Below are 20,822 nucleotides of genomic sequence, written 5' to 3'. Positions count from 1 at the left end.
TGTCTATCTCTTCCTACACTTCTAAGGTAACCACTGTTAATAGGAGGCAAATCCTTGATTTTTTCCTATCATCTTGGTAGCCCTGTAGAGATACACATGTACTTTCCTTTGTTTTTTAAACAAAAGAGATTCGAGATGCTAGGAGATTGTTGGGCAATAAACAATAAAAACAGCTGTTTTAATGAAAGCCAATACAGATCTATAGTCCTTTAGCCTTACTTTTGACATCCAAAAAGCTCTGAAAAGAAAAAAATGCTGTAGCTCATCACAGTTAGTGATAAAATCTGACTGAACTGATAGGAGGCTAATTACAGTCTTTATTCTATTTCATGTGAACATTCAGATGTTTCACTGCAGAAGTATTAATGTCATTGCATGGGGAGGCTGCCCTACATCTATGAGGACATACTGTACTTACTAACTTTCTAAAATTCAAAATAATTTTATATCTGAGCACAAAGTTTTCAGATAAGGGACTGTGGGCCTGTCTATATTGCATGTACCCTTCTTTAAATACAGTCTTTCTTTAGAGTCCTTGATAGTGTTCTCTTCCGGTTTTCTTCCCACCTCACCAGAAGTTCCTTTTCTGTCACCATCGCTAGATTCTACTCCTCTTCCCAGGCTCTAAAAGTTAAGAGTGCCTGTTCTCAACCCTTGCTCTATTACCTCATCCTCTGGGTGATCTCATTCAGTCCCAAGGGTTAAGTATCAGCTACATGTGGAATTGTCCAAAATCGACATCTCCAGCTTGCCTTCCCTATGGACATATTGCCTAGTCAACATCTCCACTTGGGTATCTAACAGGCATATTAAGATCAACATGTCCCAAATAAAATTCTTGATATTCCTCCCCAATTGTATTTCTTTTCTAGCATTTCCCATCTCAGCACTCTCTCAGTTGCTGAGATTCCAAGCTTTGGAGTTATCCTTGACTCCTTTTTATGCTTTCATATCATCCAATCAATCAGCAACCTCTATTGCCTTCACCCCTAAAATATATCCCAAATCTGGTGATTGGTCACCTCCTTCACAGCCTTGCTCTCTTTTTTGCCCTCTTCAACCTATTTTCTACACAGAAGTCAGTTATCCTCTAAAAATAAGTCAGATCATGTCAATTCCTTGTTCGAAATTCCTAGGTGGCTTTCTATCACACCTAGCAAAGTATCCAAAGACCTTATCATAGCCTACGAAGACTCCATGTGAACTGGCCCTTCAACCTTGGTTTCTATCACTATCCTTGCTCACTAAGCTCCAGCAGTGCTTGCTGACTTCCTTGTGGCTTCTTTAAGGTTCCCAGTATGTTCCTTGCTGCAGAGTCTTTCTATTACCTTTGCCTGGAGTGTTCTTTCCCTGGAATGCTCTTTGCCTCATTATTTCCTCAGAGTCCTCTTACTACCCCATCTAATATAGCACCCCTCCTTCAGAAAGTATCCCTTTTACCCTGATTTATTTTTTCCTTAGCATCTATAAAAACAACAAAACTCTTTACCTGTTAAATGAATGCATAAATAAGCAACTGCAGTAGGCACACAGGTGTATAGCTAATTTTGCCTCTGGGATTTTGTGGATTCATGGAGGGGTTCTCCTTGCACTTAGACTTGGGGAATAAACAGAAGTGTACTAGGCACCTGTTACTAAGTTTAAGCTAGAATCTGCTTTGTCTTAATTTTTTCATTTCTCATAATCTGAAAAGAAAATCTCATTAAGGTTTATATTCTGTTGCTTTTGTTTTACTTGTAACTTTCCTGATTTTTCTTCAATATTCCTTGCTTGACCTTTATTCTTGTCTCTGCCACCTTCTCTACTAGGTCCTTTTTATACTTTATTCCTTTCTATTATTTTTAATTTTTTAAAATTAATGGATTACATATAGCTAAAAAGTAAAATAATACTAAAACTCACAATGAAAAAAGCATTTCTTCACATTTCCAAGTCCTGCCTCCCAGGAATAACCATTTTCAGATCTTTAAACTATTTCTTCTGATAGTTACCCTCAGTACTTCAAAATAACATCATTATACTTCTTTGTTTTTCAGTTTGGAACATATCTATTGACTGCATGGAATGGAAGATGAGGGTTCAGCTTCCTATACCAATTCCCAACAGATGCTGCTCCTCCTCCTATCCTCATATTTCTGTCACAATTTTTAGCTTAATCTATATTCATCTTTATATGATTATAGTATATAAGCATATGCACATCTGGGCCATGTTATGTACTAAGATGACATTTTCTTCCTTGCATAGCTTCCATCCAGAGTTATTGTCTCATAATTTTTCTGCTTCATTTTCTGGGTGTTGATATTAATTTTTCACCAAACTTACAGAAGTGTAAATATCCTCTCAACATGTTCAAACACCCCATGTAAGCTATCAGCTTCTCTTTGTTCTTGGAGACATACTTCTAAGAACCCACCATTCTTCTGCTCAACATTCTAAGAAACTTCCATTCTTTTGGTCTGGTTATTCTTTCAATCTGATGCACTGCTGTAATCCTAGCATTTCTTCCCACCATTATCCTGGGATTCCCTCCATCCCTCTCCTGTGTTGGATTCCTTATTTCCTGATTCCTATATTTTCTCCTTTATTACTTATTCCATCATTGTGCTGTCATATATCTTCTAACAGCTTTCTGAAAAAGGCTGCCAGGGTAGTATCATTTTTGAGAACTCTTAAGTCTGAAAATATCTGCGTTTGATGCTTGACGGATTGTTTTGGCAGGATATAGAATTCTAGGCTGGGCATAATTTTCCTTTGGAATTTGGAAGGCACTGTCTTCTATTTCTTATTCCTTTGAATTTTCTTTTCTTTTCTCCATCTTTTTGCTTTTTTCTTCTACTTTCTAGGAGATTTCACATCTTTATCATCTAACCCAAATATTGATTTTTTTAAAATTTCAGTCCTTATATTTTAATATTCACTCTTGTTCTTTTTTCATAGCTGGCTGTTTATGTTTAATGAATACAATATCATCTCTTTTCTCTCTGAGGATATTAATTATACATTTTTAAGCTCTCTTTTGCTCCCTGTATTGTTTTGTATTTTTTTCTGTGAAGTTCTTTTTTGCTTATTGTTTCTGTTCTTCACATTAGAGATGTTTCTCAAATAATTGGTGATCCTTGGCTGTTCGTGTTTAAAAATGTGTCCCCAAAATGTTACCTTAAGCTCAGTGTGCTTGTATACAGTTTATTGGCTGATATCCTTCTAAGTAGGTAGACTGAACATGGATATAGCCATTTCATTGGAATATCCCAACTGTCAGTATCAATGGGTCTTATCCTATTTATTTATTTATTTTTGAGACAGAGTCTTGCTGTCACCCAGGCTGGAGTGCAGTGGTGTGATCTCCGCTACTGCAACCTCCACCTTCTGGGTTCAAATGATTCTTGTGCCTCAGCCTCCCAAGTAGCTGGGATTACAGATGTGCAGCACCACGACAGGCTAATTTTTGTATTTTCAGTAGAGACGGAGTTTTACCATGTTGGCCAGGCTGGTCCCAAACCCCTGGCCTCATGTGATCTGCCTGCCTTGGCCTCCCAAAGTGCTGAGATTACAGGTGTGAGCCACTCTGCCAGGCTGGTGTTATCTTTTGAGGCAGCTCATTTCTCCAGAAGGGGCTCTTCCAATTTCTTTTTTTATGGCTATTAATACATAAGCCTGGTTACTTGTGTTCTGAAACATGAGAGTGTGAAGGGTACTGGGAAGTCTCCATACTTAATATACTCTTGCTTTATCTCTTCTGTCCTCAGGTTCAGTGCCTTTTCTCATTCAGTTTTGCTAGAGAGTAAACCCCTGGTATTCTGCCAGGATGGTGGGCAGGGGCTTCTTGGGAACTGGGAGGACATCTCTGATGATCTGTTTGGTCCTTTTATAATCTTTCAAACAGCCTTGTTTTCAATTCCACCCTTACATCCCTCTTTCAGAGGCATAGGCATACAGAGATATTGTGGGTTTGGTTCTAGACCAAAATAAAGCAAATATTGCAATAAAGAAAGTCACATGAATTTTTTGGTTTCCCATTGCATATAAAAATTATGTTTACAACATACTGTAGTTAAGTGTGCAATAGCATTAAGTCTAAAAAATGTACATACCTTAATTTAAAGATATTTTACTGCTAAAAAATGCTATCAATCATCTGAGCCTTCAGCAAGTTGTATCTTCTGCTGGTGGAGGGTCTTGCTTCAATGTTGATGGCTGTTGACTGATCAAGGTGGAAGTTGCTGAAGGTTGGGATGGCAGTAGCAATTTCTTAAAAGAAGACAACAGCACAGAAATCACTTGAACCTGGGAGGCAGAAGTTGCAGTGAGCTGAGATTGCGCCACTGCACTCCAGCCTGGGCAACAGAGTGAAACTCTGTCTCAAAAAGAAAATAAAAATTAAAAAAAAAGACAACAATGATGTTTGCCACATCAAGGGACTCTTCCATTTATGAAAGATTTCTCTGTAGCATGTGATGCTGTTTGACAGCATTTTACCCGCAGTAGAACTTCTGCCAAAATTGGAGTCAATCCTCTCAAACCCTGTCACTGCTTTATCAACTAATTTTATATAATATTCCAAATCCTTTGTTGTAATTTCAATATTTTTTGCAGCATCTTCACAGGAGTAGATTCCATTTCAACAAATGGCTTTCTTTGCTCATCTATAAGAAGTAACTTTTTATATGTTCAAGTTTGCAGCAGTTCAGCCACATCTTCAGACTCCACTTTTAATTCTAGTTCTCTTGCTATTTCTGCCACTTCCTCCACTGAAGTTTTAAACCTTCAAAGTCATCCATGAGAGCTGGAATCAACTTCTTCCAAACTTTTGTAATTATTGATATTTTATCCTCTACCCATGAATTAGGAATGTTCTGAATGGCATCTAGAATGGTGAGTCCTTCCCAGAAGGTTTTGAATTTACTTAGCCCAGATCCATCAGAGGAATCAATAACTATGACAGCTATCATCTTATGAAATATATTTCTTAAATAATAAGACTTGAAAGTCAAAACTGTTCCTTGATTCATGCGCTGCAGAATGGATGTTGTGCTTGCAGGCATGAAAACATTAATCCCCTTGTACATCTCCATCAGAGCTCTTGGGTGACCAGATGCATTGTCAATGAGAAGCAATATTTTGAAAGGGATTTTTTTTTTTTTCTGAACAGTAGGTATCAACAGGCTTAAAATATTCAGTAAGCCATGCTGCAAAAAGATGTGCTGTCATTCAGGCTTTGTTGTCCCACTTATAAAGCACAGAGTAGAGTAGATTTAGCATAATTCTTAAGGGTGTTAGGATTTTTGGGATGGTAAATGAGCATTGGCTTCAACTTAAAGTCACTAGCTGCATTATCTCCTAATGAGAGAATTAGACTGTCCTTTGAAGGCTAATTCTTGAAGTTTGGCTTCAAAGCTTCTGTACTACAGCTATGAAAGTCCTAGATGGTACCTTCTTCCAATAGAAGGTTGTTCCATGTACAATGAAAACCTGTTGTTTAATGTAGCTACCTCATAAATGATCTTAGCTAGATCTGGATAACTTACCACAGCTTCGACATGAGCACTTGCTATCTTACCTTATACCTTTATGTTCTGGAAATGGCTTCTTGTCTTGAACCTCATAAACCTACCACTGCTAGCTTCCAATTTTTCTTCTGCAGCTTCCTCATCTCTTTCAGTCTTCATACAATTGGAGAGAGTTAGGGTCTTGCTCTGGATTAGGCTTTGGCTTAAGGGAATATTATGACTGGTTTGATCTTCTACCTAGACCACTCAAACTTTCTCCATATCAGCAAGAAGGCTGTTTTATTTTCTTATCATTCATGTATTCACTGAGGTAGCACTTTTATTGCCTTCAAGAACTTTTCCTTTGCATTCACAACTTGGCTAACTGGAACAAGAGGCTTAGCTTCTGGCTTATCTCAACTTTTGATTTGCTTTCCTTGCTAAGCTTAATCATTTCTGCCTTTTGACTTAAAGTGAGAGATGTGTAATTCTTCCTTTCACTTGAATGCTTAGGAGCCATTGTAGCGTTGTTAATTGGCCTAATTTCAATATTGTTTTTGCCTCAGCAAATAGGGAGTCCTGAGCAGAAGAGAGATGGAGGACTGGCCAGTCAGTGGATTAGTCCGAACACACACAACATTTATCTATTAAGTTTGCTGTCTTATATAGGCACCATTCTTGGCACCCACAAACAAGTGTAATAGTAACATCAAAGATCACTGGTTTTGTGGCCATAACAGATATAATAATAATGAAAGAGTTTAAAATATTGCAAGAATTACCAAACTGTGACACAAAGACATAAAGTGAGCACATGCAGTTGAAAAAATGACACTGAGAGACTTTCTCGACATAGGGGTTGCCACAAACCTTCAATTTGTGGGGAAAAAAAAACCACAGTATCTGTGGAGCACAATAAAGTGACATGCAATAAAACAAGTTATGCCTGCATCTAGTTTCTCCAATTCCTGAGCCTCTCCAGTGTTGTGTCACATAACTAGATTTTCTCCATTTTGAATCCTCCCATCCCCAATCCTCACGGGCATTAGGTTTCAGTATTCTATATGATAAGTTATTTATCTCTTAGACACTTGCTTTCCATTTTTGTAAGCTTTGGCCAATATCTTTTTTATCAAGTGCTAACTCCTCTCCTGTTCTCTTTGTCCTAATGGATTTATTCACTTTTTATTAATTGACTGCCATTTTAGTGGCAATGGAATGAAGTAGAGATAAACATATGTATTCAATTCTCCATGTTTAACCAAGAGCATTATTTTCTATTTTTGAGTATCACTCATCTTCATTGTATGACTACAAGAACTATAGCATTTAAAACTACTGCTCTTTTGGCTCCCTTATGTGTGGTCTTCAAACAACAAAAATATTGAACTATCTGTACTGATTGTCCTTCGGTGATTGTATGTGAGCTGTTTATTTGATTTACCACATTCTTCCTCTGGATCACAACAAGGTCCGTAATAGGGGGTCACACTGTCTTGACTGTACTCACATGGAACCAGTAGGAAGGAAAATGGGCATCAAGAAGCACATGACCCATTTTGACTTGGTTTTATTGATAAGTGTTATTCTCTAACATATTAACTTTCTCTCTCTCTCTCTCTCTCACTCTCTCTCCCTCCCTCCCTCCTTTCCAATCTTTTAATGTATCTTCTCAGGGACTCCTTGTTCACATTTACATTTCTAGCACAGTTTTATTTTCCATTTTCTCTTTTTATTGACCTGCACCCTTTGTTGCTCTGCTTTGCGACCCTTGCTGTTTCTGGGGATGCCCTCCAATAATCCCTGCTCCACTTAGGAAGGCCCATTTTGCCCTTTAGAGGCTTTGGCTTTCCTCTTATCCTTGAGAACTTTCTTCATACAATTAAAAACAAAGTCTACCCATTATTTGGCCTCTTGAAAGAGAACAGGGCTTTCCTCCTCTTAATTAGCCTCCTTATTAGACCATTAATTTATTTTCATTCGAATGGGAATTTGTTTTCCACTTAAATGCAGCTTTATTTCTCCAGAATCTGAGAAATTTCAAGTGTCTGGAATGCATTTTCAAAAAAAGTGGTGCTTTTCACTTTACATGCTATGGCCTCTATTCTTTTTGGCTCATAAATCCTATCCCTTTTATTGGCTCATTTCCTATTTTTATAAGCATATTTTGGACTCTGGCATGCTTAGCCAGAGAAGCAGCCTTAATTATTTACTCTTACAGTTCAGTTCGAATTAGTTAACTTTGAGGTGATATTTTGGTAACTTCTAAAGGAAACTCTAGTCTACCCTCCCCGCTCCCACAAAAGGAAATTGCCCCCCTAAGTATACCCTTAATTGGTTTTCTTTACCTTTGGGATGATCCTTTTCTCCTCTCTAGCAATGATCTGTGATCATTTATATACCAACCCAATGTCTTATGTCTTTCAGTCCACATTTTTTTAAAAAAGCTTTATTCCTAAGTGGCTTCTTTTAAAAACTAATGAGCAGGAAGAGTTCCAACTGCAGCTCCTTTTGTCGATGAAGAAATCCACTCTTCACTTTTAGTCTATTTTCTCTTGCCAAAATCACCTCCCGAAGCCCTGTGATTGGAAGCCTTTAAAACGCCCCCTTAATGATCCTTACTCTCCTGATATTCATATCTTTGTGCAATGATTTCACCTCGAGTGTGGGTTGGACTTACTGATTCATTTGTAATAAATGGAATACAGCAGAAGCACTGGTATGTCTCTTCCGAGATTAGGTTGCAAAAAGACTGTGGCTTCTGTCTTGGCACCTTCTCTCTCTCATTCTCACTCGCTTGCCCTGAGGGAAGTCAGCTGACACACTGAGCTGTTCTATGGAGAGGTCCATGTGGCAAGGAACTGAGGGAAGCCTCTGGCCAAATACATTCTGCCAAAAACCATATAAGTAAGCCTGAAAGCCAATCCCATCCTAGTTGAGCCTCTAGATGAGACTGCAGCCCAGTGGATACCCTGACACCAACCTCATGAGAGAACTTGAGCCTCTAAACCAGAGACACTCAGCTAAGCCATGCTCAGATTCCTGACCCACAGAAGCTATGAGATAATAAATGTTTGTTGTTTGAAGCTGCTAAACTTGGGGGTAATTTGTCACGTAGCAATAGATAACTTATACAGGCTCTTCATGCAAATGTTCGAGCTTTCAGTCTATGCTTTTTTTATGATAAATTCTGTTTAGATCATTCTTTCCTTTGGATATTAATTTAATTACTCATGCAAAGTTTTCTTTAAATTCTTCTTTGAGAGCAGGAAGTGGCAGTTGTCAGTCTTATTCATAATTACATCACCAGTACCTATCTAACACGTGCCTGGCACCCAGATAGATGCTGTTATGGGGTATGGAAGTTTGTCAACTCCAAATCTCATGTTGAAATGTAATCCTCAATGTTGGAGGTGGGGCCTAGTGGGAGGTGTTTGAATCATGGCAGCAGATCCTTCATGAATTGCTTAGCACCATCCCCTTGGTGATGAATGAGTTCTTGCTGTGTTAGTTCATGCGAGATTTGGTTGTTTAAAATAATGTGGCACCTCCCCCCACCTCTCTCTCACCATGTGATGCACTGGCTTCTCCTTCACCTTCCGCCATGATTGTAAGCTTCCTAAGGTCCTCGCCAGAACTATGCTTCCTGTTCAGCCTGCAGAACCATGAGCCAACTAAACCTCTTTTCTTTATAAATTATCCAGTCTCACATATTCCTTTAGACTAAGGCAAGAACAGAGTAACACAGATGCTAATATACATTTACTGAATTTGGCCCTTCCGTCTTTTTCTGTTTGTCCTAGTTTATAAGTTACTCCTCATTTTCTATATTGCCATTTCTTTTGTGAATGAATAGTTAGAAAACCTGCTAGTCTAGTTGCCTCAATCTTTCTGTCCTTTATCCTGCTTCCCTCCTCTAGAGATTCACTACTGCTGTCTCATTTGAGGCAAATCAGCATCACTTCTCTCTTTCTCAGGGTTTCTCTAGCAGAGCTAAGTCCACGTGTGCTCTCCCTCCTTACTCCTGCCTGAACTAGGGGTGCGGCTTCCTTCATTGGGGGGACTGAGCTGCTGTGTAACAACAAGAGAACTTAATCATCTTTTTGTCTTAATTATAATACTAAAAGAAAATTGAGTCCCTGGAGATTATAACTGCTAAGTCTGTGGTCACTGTGAAATACAGAAGCAGAATAATAAGAACTGGGTTTCCCAAAAGAGGAAACATCATATCATAGAGATTCGAATTTGAATCTTGGCTCCACCAAACTGTCTGACCTTATGGAAATTATTCAACCTTCTTCAGTCTCTTCCTCATTTGTAACATGTAAATAATTTCTACTTATAGAGTTGTTTTAGGCATTATTCTTGATCTAGTATTCTATCTACTCCATATTTTATCTTATATTTATAACTTCTTTGTAATAGGTTCACTTCATAATTACATAATTACAATGATTATGTAAACTTTCTATTTTGGCTGATAATTTAAATATAGCAAGACCATGGCATATTTAATTGTTAATAATCGATATTGCTGTTAGCACTTTCCTTTTATGCCTTTACTGATGCCAAACCAACAAAGATATTACTTCTCACCAACATTCAGAATCTTCCTCCATTTACCTTTATTTGCTATACTGTCATCAAAGGGATCAAATATTGTAATGTGATATGATATTGATGATTAGAGAACAGATGAATTGTTTCAGTATTTCTAAACTGCTCAGTAGTTCAGACATAAGACTTTCAAAAATGTTTTCAAATCAAAATAGGTCTACTCCAGTTTGAATGAAAACCATCACTGAAATAATCATACATACATAAGAAAGAAAACCGACGCATGCATATTACCTTATAAGTTTACATTGATAGGAAGTAAAAACCTAAGGTAAAATTGTGTTTAAAAGACATAGTCTAATTTTTTTAAATGTATGCAGAAAGTTCTCTAAAAGTTTATTTGGCAACAATTTAACGTTAAAACAAATAAGACATAAACATATAAAGATTCCTACTCTTAGAGGCTTAAAATAGTTATTTGCAAGAAAGAACTAGGTGCTAAGGAAACTTTTAGAGATTATGTAGTTCACAGGAAAGCCAGGTCTGGAGAGGCTAAGTGACTGCCTAAAGTTAAGGACAGAGCACCAGGATGTGATTAAGGACAGAGCACCAGGATGTGATTTAGGTCAGACTAACATTCCAGGACTCTTTCCATGAAACTAAGCTGCCTTTCACGTTTTTGTTTGTTTGTTGAAAGAACATGTGCTCTTTGATTAATTGCAAAGTTACCACTATCTGCTTCCTACCTCTTCCTGGGACTGGTTAAATTGCTCTATCAGTTGTGTTTGAGCCAGCATTACTCTTTTCAGTTCATCCGACTTCTGTTCCATTTCCTTCCTCAAGTTTTCTGAAACTGAATCATTACTGTCAATTTCCTTCTTCAAGCGAGATTCAAATTCTGCAACCAAATTTTTAAGATTTTCAATTTCTTTTTCCTTTGAATTAGATTCTTCAGTGTACCGAATATGGGATTTGTGAAGTTTTTCTTTAAGAGTGGTCACTTCCTGCCTTAGATCTCTTGTAGCGCCTGTGATTAAGTCAGATATCTGTAAGATAAATCTCATATTAGCTTGTAGGCGATAGTTTCTAGGTAACCACAGAATTCTTATGGTTTTTAAGAGGTTTATTTTCATTAATCAGTGTACTCACTTGATCAGATGAAACCAAACCCATGATGTGCAGGCCTTCAAGATTTTCTTTTTAAAAGACTAAAACATTTATTTTTCTACTTAAAACAGTATCACATTAATCACTTGGGCACTTTTGGAAATATATAAATTTCTGTGACTATATTAAGCTACAAAGGATAGCACAAGTCTTTTTTTTTGAGACAGGGTCTTGCTCTGTTGCCAAGGCTGGAGCACAGTGGTGCAGTGGTGTAATCATGGCTCTCAGCAGCCTTGACCTCCTGCGCTCAAACGATCCTACCAATTCAGCCTCTCCAGTAGCTGGATCACAGACTCATGCCACCACCCCTGGCTAATTTTTTATTTTTTGTAGAGATGGTGTCTCTCTGTGTTACCATGGCTGGTCTTAAACTCCTGGGCTCAAGCAATCCTCCTGCCTCAGCCTCCCAAAGTGCTGGGATTACAGCTGTGAGCCACTGTGCCCAGCCTCAGCTCAAGTCTTGACAAGTAGATCAGGGGACTGTCTGGACCTAACTAGGTTGGCTTTGGGATCTCAAAATGCCTGATTTTGGGGGAATGCAAGGAGGAGAGCACTAGAGTTATACTTTACCCTAACTGTACCAATAAATTTTTCTTTAACATAATTTTTTTTTCTTTTTTGTATATAATGGCTGGAGGAACTCCAGATACTATGCCTTCCAGAACAGTACTGCCCAACAGAGCTTTCTGTGGTGTTAGAGATATTCTATGCTATCCAATATGGTAGTCACTAGCCACATGTGACTACTGACGGTGCTGGTAAATGTTTAACAACTGACTCTCAAATTTAAAAAAAAAAAAGCAAGATTTGTATGTAATTTCCATGGTGTAAATACTCTAACCATAGCTCTCAAAAAAGAGTATTGACTATTGAGCACCTGAAATATGACTAATGTGACCAAGGAACTGAATTTAAATTGTATTTAATTTTAATTAATTTAATGGAAACTTTTGCAGCCACATGTGGCTATCATGACGGACAGCACAGTTGTAGAAAACACTTGAATATTCTGAAAATGTATTGCTTCTCAAGGTGGTTCCTCTAGATAAATGAATGAGAGAATAACTTGGAGAAGCTTTTCCTGATGGCATGAAAGTCTTTAGAAGGGAAAAGTCCTCTTGTTTTCTTTCTCCTTAAGAAACAAAACAACGAAACAAGAGCTGCTTCTAATGAAACATATCTTTATTACTTATGCTCAATTATTGTCATGTTATAAATATTAGCACAACAAGAAACTAGCCCACTAAGAATCTGGAAAACATTCACAGACCAAGGTTCCAAGGACTTTGTGAACTGTTACATAAAAAGAGTTATGTATCCAAAATTTGTTTCAAATGTTAAATTTACAGAAAGAATAACTTGTGTGAGAAGTCTCTTCACCATAGTTCATAATTTTATAAATTAATATTCTATTATCTTCAATTAATCCAAGAGGGAAGAAGGCCACTGTCAGGTCTGCACAGTGGTTTTCATCACCCAGAGGAGAGCTGACACTGAAAGTATCTTTGGGAGAGGAGGTTCACATAACCACAAATATGTTTTTATTTTTTAAAAGGCAGTCAACATTTAAAGATCAGGAGGTTTCACTTACAAAATCTTGATTTAAAAATCAGGATTTATGACTTCTCTTAAGAAACTGTAACATTTGGCAAGTTCCAGCTTGCCTGTCTGCATTCTCCTGCTGATGGGATCCTGAACCACCCAGGGCTGCAACAGCAGTCACAGAGTGAGAGGAAGAAGAAAGGGGGAGACTCGGTGGAGCCTGGGGCATCAGGAGCCAGGAAGCAAGAGGTGAGAACCCTCTAGGGGAGGCAGAACCTTGGGGGAGCCAAGGCTCTAAGCTTGTGGCACATGCTCCATTGCCACAGTAGGATTTCACTTACAAAACAGAAGTTCAAAGATAAAATCACTAAGATTTTTTTTTTTCTTTTAGAGAAGGAGTCTCACTTTGTTGCCCAGTCTGGAGTGCAATGGTATGATCATAGCTCACAGAAGCTTTGAACTCCTGGGTTCAAGTGAACCTCTTGTATCAGCCTCCCAAGTAGCCAGGGTATACACTGGTATGAACATACTACAGGTATGAACCGTCACACTAGGCTAATTAAGTCTTTTTTTTTTTTAATAGAGACAGTCTTGCTATGTTGTCCAGGCTGGTATTGAATTCCTGGCCTCAAGTGATCCTCTTGCTTGGGCCTCTCAAAGTGCTAGGATTATAGGCATGAGCCACCATGCCCAGTTAGATTATTAAGAATTTCAAGGTAGTATCTGCAAAGCAATAAATCCAAAGCATGAAGCCTTTCTGAGTGTGGGACCATGTGCTATTGCACTGGTTGTACACATGTAGCTGGTGCTGCCTGTTGTTCACAATGGACTACTGAAATGGATGTACCATACCTCCTGTACACAAATGTAGAAGCCATTAGGTCTTGTCTGATGCTTAATTAACACAGACTCTTAATGCATGTATTCAAAATGTTATTTCCCCACTAGGTCTTGATTAATACACATACACACACACACACACATACACACTCTACACTCAAGTCCTATAAAAACAGGAAAACCTTAACAAAACCTTTAGTATTTAGAACATACTGTTTAAGAAATTTAGGGAGGTGTAATTACATTTTAAAAATATTTCTCTTCATTCAGAAATGTTGAGAATGAAAAATATTTGCAATTAAAGGGTATATGCTTTAGTGGTTGGGAAAATTTTAATTATATAAAACACCTCATTATCTTTCAATGTTGGATATTTGAGGTGTTGAAATATCTAGCCGTACTAATTTTTAGTCATATAATTTATGATGTTTAAAAAATAAGTTTATTCCAGTAGAAAAAATCCATACATAGCTGGATTACATGCTTGTATAACTTATCTCAGTTATCCATTCTGGAGAATTAGCCAAACCGTCTTACCTGCATAGCTAAAACCAAGACACAGTGACCATGAGTGAAAGCTACTGGAATTATAAATACTGTAGTGTTCTAAGGCGAAATATACAACATCTGCAGTTTCAAATCTATTAAATAATGATGAACATCATAATTACAGACCTTCATTTGTAGTTCCTCTTGTTCTTTCTTATACTTTTGGATTACATCTTGGTGTTTTTCTTTTTCAATATCAAGTTGCAATTTTGTTTCTTCCTTAAAGAGAAGAGCTTGCTCTTCAAATTCAACCAAGTGTTGGGCCCTTTCCTTGGCAAGTTCTGCTTCAATCTAGAAATGGCATTTAAAGCACATGTAAAACTATTTTTACCTTAAAATAAGTACATTAAGCTTATTTTCAAACTCTAAGTTTTAAAATGTTCTGACATTAAATTTTTAATTAAACTATTTTAAAAATTCTAGTGTTCAAAAAAAAGTGTGACTTAGAACTTGGGCCAGAAAAATTGACCTTGTGCCAAATATTCCACCACCTTCTAAGACCTGAAAAATTAGTAGAGGAGTTACAACTATATGACAGTTTTCAGAAATACTAAAAGCTTAATTACTTGCTCATTTATACTGTGAACTCAGTCCTTGCCAGCAACTCAGAAAATTGAAGTTTTTGTTTTTAAGCAGATTTTGAGGGCCTTAGACTAAGTTCTGCTTAAAACTCAGAGGGAACACAAAGGACAAATGTTGATTTTTCAAGTGGCCCTTTCTTGATGGAGGTCATAGAAGTTTTGAAGTCACAGATTGTCATTTTAATGTGACTAAAGTGGGAAGGATGATTAAAGGAAAAGAGTCAGTAATGTCCGTACAGATGGTCCCCAACTTGCAATGGTTCGACTTATGATTTTTCGATTTTATAATGGAGAGAAAGCAATATGCGTTTTCAGTAGAGACTATACTTCAACTTTTGAATTCTGATCTTTTCCTGGGCCGTTGATATGAAGTATGATACTCTCTTGGGATGTTAGGCAGTGTCAGTGGGCCACAGCTCCCAGTCATCCATGTGATCATGAGGGCAAACAGCTGATACTGTACAGTGTATGTACTGTGTTGCCAGTATTTTTTAGATATTGTGTTTTCACATTCCATCATGTCTACAGATTACCCATTTTTGACTTACAATACCTTCAATTTATGATGGGTTTATCAGGATGTAACCCCACTGAAAGGTGAAGAGCATCTGTATCCATACTTTGACTCAGATAGAATCATAATGCTAGAAGGGACCTTAGAAATCTCCTAATTCAATCTCTCATGTTTCCATGAATTGTGGAAAGAATAAGCAAGAACTCTAGATGCAGATGAAGTTGAGTTTAAATCCTGGCTCTTAATCCTGGCTCTGCTACTTCCTAACTGAGTGATCTTAAGTTTGTGACTGTAACCCTTCCTGGTAGGGTTATAACGAGTTCCCTTAGGGGCTGTTATGAGGATTAAAGGAGGCAAAGCTTCTGTGTAAAGCTCTAACATGAGTAGGAATTTAACAGTCAGTGGAGAGTACTTCCACACTCTGACCCTTCAGTCTCTACTACTGACTCCATACTAAATGACTGACTGCTGGGTGCCTCACACCTCCAGAAACCATAACTCACTCCTTCCCCAGAAGGCATTTCCATTTTCAGACAGCACTAAGCATTAGGCAGTTTTTCCTGTAGTTGAGCCAACATCTCTCTCCATGTGGTTTTTAACCATTGGTTTTGGCTCTGCCTACTGAAACAAGAAAGAGAAGAAATCTATTAGAACTGGAGTCATTTACTCCTGGGAGTTCATCTAGAGAGACTGGAAAAGGAAATCCCAGTGACAGTCTGGCTCTAGATTTATACTGTGCCAGGATTATAAACTCTAAGAGAGGGTAAAGCCAGGTAAATTGGGAGAAAAACTCACAACTGATGGTGACTGTGTGATTTAGGCCACCAAGACAGGGAAAGAGGTCAACCTAAATTTCTCAAGAGAACAATGAAGCCAGGGTACAAGGACACAAATATTGCTAAGAAAGTTAAAGGAAGCCCTTTACATTAAATAAAATACTGATGGAAGACTAGCCCCAGTGTGGGGTCAATTGGTTTTATTGTACTGGGTATAGGACTAAGCATCTGCCTTAAGGGAATGTAATTATGTTTATACAGTACTGAATGCAAAGAGTTATTTTGGCTCTTTCAAAATAAACTTCTGGATTGTTTGGGATAATAGGCTACTGATGATTTATTAGCAACATTACAGAATTACAGAATTATTCAGATGGGCTGCTCTCAGACTGCTGAAGACAAAGGAAGTCTCAGGGGGCACTCAGAAAAAAAGAAGATATTCCTCTGAATTTCAGGTACTTAAATCCACTTTGCCTCCTGGTAGCCATTTAGATAATTCACAGGTGCCTCCAATGAATTGTATGGCCCAGAAATCTTGTAACAACACTCTTCCCAAAGCCTGTTTCTCCCTCTTATTTCAGGACACAGCTCTACCATCCATCTAGTTACTCAAGTTAGTGACTGGAACATCATCTTTCATACCTCTCTCCTTTACCCTCCCCACCCAATCCAACACAAAATCCTATTCATTTTACCTTCAAAAGATGCTTTGCATCCATTTCTCTATGTCTCAACTTTCATCAGCACTTCCTGATCACCTAGTTCTGGCCACCATCACTTCCTGAACAGCCTCCTTACTTTCACTCCTGCTTCACTCCAACCCATGCTACTACACACAGCACAGTATTCTTTACAAACTATAAATTAGATTTTTTTATTCCTTCTTCGTGGTTTCTCAGTGCATTAATATATCAAAACTCCTGTATATGGCCTTTTACGGGGCGACTACTAGCCCATATGACACCTTTGTGTAAACTGACAAAGCACCCCATCCTTAGATGAAAACAGTCTCATGCCAGTCATAGGACTTGATGAGCAGAGTACAGGCTAGATTCCATCTCGCTTTGCTGCCTTGGCCTGTTGCAGGGTGCAACTTAAACACTGTGTATGGTGGCAGTCCTGGATTCCTCCAGTCTGACTTCCACTACTTTTCTCATTTGATCACTGTGCTTTGGCCACTCTGGCATAGATAAGTCAAGAATATATGAAAGGAGAAACCAAATGTAATACATTTGGAAAAATTGGAAGGTATAATATTAATATAAAAGTTAATAATCAATAACATTCCATTATTAATTAATTATTAATAATTAATAGTCACATAGTTCTTAAATATTAATAGTAATCAATAAGTGAATAATATAAGCATTAATAGTTCATAAGATGCTCTGGCACTATTAATAAAAGAGCAACAAACTATTTTGAGAAGCTCAAGAAAAATGTGTATTGAGGTGCTAAGGTATCAAGTATTTTTTAAAATCTTCTGTGGTTAATTAGTAGAGCCCAATAGCTATTTTAGGACAAAACGACATCTTTCCAAATACGGATTGATTGCTCAAATTAAGACAGTGAGAATATATGCAAACTTGGTGGAACAAGACAAAAATTAGATGACAGAAGGACTTTAGAAGAACCTTCAAAAAAAGTTTTCAAAAATTATTATGGAGATTAGGTCAATTAGAAAATCAGCAGAGCTGAAACTGGATCCCTTCCTTACACCTTATACAAAAATTAATTCAAGATGGATTAAAGACTTAAATGTTAGACCTAAAACCATAAAAACCCTAGAAGAAAACCTAGGCATTACCATTCAGGACATAGGCATGGGCAAGGACTTCATGTCTAAAACACCAAAAGCAATGGCAACAAAAGACAAAATTGACAAATGGGATCTAATTAAACTAAAGAGCTTCTGCACAGCAAAAGAAACTACCATCAGAGTGAACAGGCAACCTATAAAATGGGAGAAAATTTTCACAACCTACTCATCTGACAAAGGGCTAATATCCAGAATCTACAATGAACTCCAACAAATTTACAAGAAAAAAACAAACAACCCCATCAAAAAGTGGGTGAAGGATATGAACAGACACTTCTCAAAAGAAGACATTTATGCAGCCAAAAGACACATGAAAAAATGCTCATCATCACTGGCCATCAGAGAAATGCAAATCAAAACCACAATGAGATACCATCTCCCACCAGTTAGAATGGCAATCATTAAAAAGTCAGGAAACAACAGGTGCTGGAGAGGATGTGGAGAAATAGGAACCCTTTTACACTGTTGGTGGGACTGTAAACTAGTTCAACCATTGTGGAAGTCAGTGTGGCGATTCCTCAGGGATCTAGAACTAGAAATACCATTTGACCCAGCAATCCCATTACTGGGTATATACCCAAAGGACCATAAATCATGCTGCTATAAAGACACATGCACACGTATGTTTACTGCGGCATTATTCACAATAGCAAAGACATGGAACCAACCCAAATGTCCAACAATGATAGACTGGATTAAGAAAATGTGGCACATATACACCATGGAATACTATGCAGCCATAAAAAATGATGAGTTCATGTCCTTTGTAGGTACATGGATGAAATTGGAAATCATCATTCTCAGTAAACTATCGCAAGGACAAAAAACCAAACACCGCGTGTTCTCACTCATAGATGGCAATTGAACAACGAGAACACATGGACACAGGAAGGGGAACATCACACTCTGGGGACTGATGTAGGGTGGGGGGAGGGGGGAGGGATAGCATTAGGAGATATACCCAATGCTAAATGACGAGTTAATGGGTGCAGCACACCAGCATGGCACATGTATACATATGTAACTAACCTGCACATTGTGCACATGTACCCTAAAACTTAAAGTATAATAATAATAATAATAATAATAATAATAATAATAATAAAAGAAAATCAGCAGGGTCCCTTTGATGAAGTTGAAATAAAATATTCAGGGAAGAAAAGGTGATGGCTGATGGCTTGAATGAGCTGAATGTTCTGTTTTACTCGAGTTAGAAAGCAAGATCTTGTTGCCCCTGAACTATTCTTTGAACTACTGTAGGTAAAGAGAGAAAACAAGGAAGGAATAAATATATGGACAGTGGGAAAGAACAAGCACTGTAGACAAAAGGGAGAAGAATGATTGACTATTACTAGCTTTGTTTTTAATTTGCACAATCTGAGAAAAAGAAGCAGAGTGATGAGTTTTCACATGGGATTTCAAACACTTAGGAAAGCTGCAGTGGGATGCTAAGAGCCATCTGAATGTGTTGACGTGTTAGCACAGAGAAATGAGATTACTGGTTCCTTCATGATCTGATTAGTTTGAACAAAATTATGAGCCCATAAACACAACGATTTGCTTAAGGGGTACATTATTTGCCTTTCAGTAGGTGCATTCATGCCAAATTGCCATGTTTTTATTTTTAAATGTTGATAGGAGCTGATAATTTAAAATATTTTAGATGACAGGAGTTATGTTTGAGCAAAATAAATAAATTTGTTGATGGTGTACATATAAAGCATGAACCACTTTATACAATAACTAATAGTAATTTTGATAAGAAGAAAATTATGATTTCTAAAAAAGCATGAATAATATTAACTTAAGAATTACACAAAGTAAAATCAATTATTATCTTTGTACACATCCCAGGTTTTAATTATTTTTGGTTTTTATTTATCTATATCCTCTTCTAGCTGAAACTCCATCTCCTTGGTGAAGGCCACCGGATGACTCCAGAGCATTCAGAGCATTGTTTTTAAATTTCTTTTGTATTTGTTGTTGAAATGCATAATTAGTACTTTATAAAATCTGTATTTAATACCAATATGCAAAATACTGCCTTTTCACTATTTTCCAAGCGAGGTCTTTGTGGTTGACTTTGTTATTATCATTTTTCTTATTGAACATGGAGCCAAACACCATGTTATAATATGACCATTTATTACTCAATGATACCTTTAAAACCAATGGGAATTTTAGATGCCAAAGTAGGAATCAAATAATTTGCTTATATTTGATATGCATATATAATTTTTAAAGATATGGCTCCTAAAATAAATTATTGTACTATTTTACAAAACTTAAAAATGAATACTGATTGCAAATTATTACAGTACTTTAGATTATTTCTGAAATAGCTACTGAATAAATAATAAAAGCAGATGATTATTCAAAACAGAATTTGCAGTTAAAAAATGAATGCTAAGGAATCAGAATATGTAGGCTGCAGGTCAAATCCTGTCAAGAACTATGTGAACTTAGGTTGGAAGGAGAGAATGTTCACTGAGTAAATGAATACAAGCTAGGGTGGTATGGTATAGGACACTTTCTATATATTAACTCTTTTAATTCTTACAACTCTAAGAATAACATAGAATAATAGAAGTATTACTCCCACTGTCTCGATTAAGAGATAGGCTCAGAGAAGTAAGTAACTTCACCAAGATCATAGAGCAACTACAAGGTGGAAACAATGTGTATACTCAGGTGTTGCCGGTGAACTCTATAGCTCAGTGTGTTTAGTTTTTTTTTCATGTAAGCTGTCCCCCCAACCCCTACATCTGTACAGCATAGTGGGCTCAGGGCGTGGTCTTGGTATTTATTTAGTTTCAAAATATTTAAGGATTGTCCAGATAACTTTCTGCTAACGATTTCTAATTTTATTTCATTGTGGTCAGAGAAAATATTTGTATGATGTGAATCCTTTTAAACTTATTGAGACTTATTTATAAGCCAAAATATGGTCGATTTTGGTAAGATGTTCATGTGCACTTGAGAAGAATG

General features: G+C 37.3%; 1 protein-coding gene across 1 annotated transcript in view; it reads right to left on the bottom strand.

Moving 5' to 3' along the window:
- The window catches only part of LEKR1 (leucine, glutamate and lysine rich 1), a 219,777-nt gene that overhangs the window by 6,935 nt on the left and 192,020 nt on the right, over positions 1–20,822 (bottom strand). The window contains exons 11-12 of the mRNA NM_001004316.3: positions 14,271–14,435; positions 10,793–11,092 (exon numbers count right to left, since the gene is read on the bottom strand). Coding sequence (NP_001004316.2) covers positions 10,793–11,092; positions 14,271–14,435 — 465 coding nt within the window. The remainder of the gene's footprint in view (positions 1–10,792; positions 11,093–14,270; positions 14,436–20,822) is intronic.

This window comes from Homo sapiens, chromosome 3 (assembly GCF_000001405.40).
Source record: "Homo sapiens chromosome 3, GRCh38.p14 Primary Assembly".
NCBI classification, from domain to species: Eukaryota; Metazoa; Chordata; class Mammalia; order Primates; family Hominidae; genus Homo; species Homo sapiens.
Note: the sequence above shows the minus strand (reverse complement) of the source record. Positions and strands in the feature narration are given on the sequence as shown.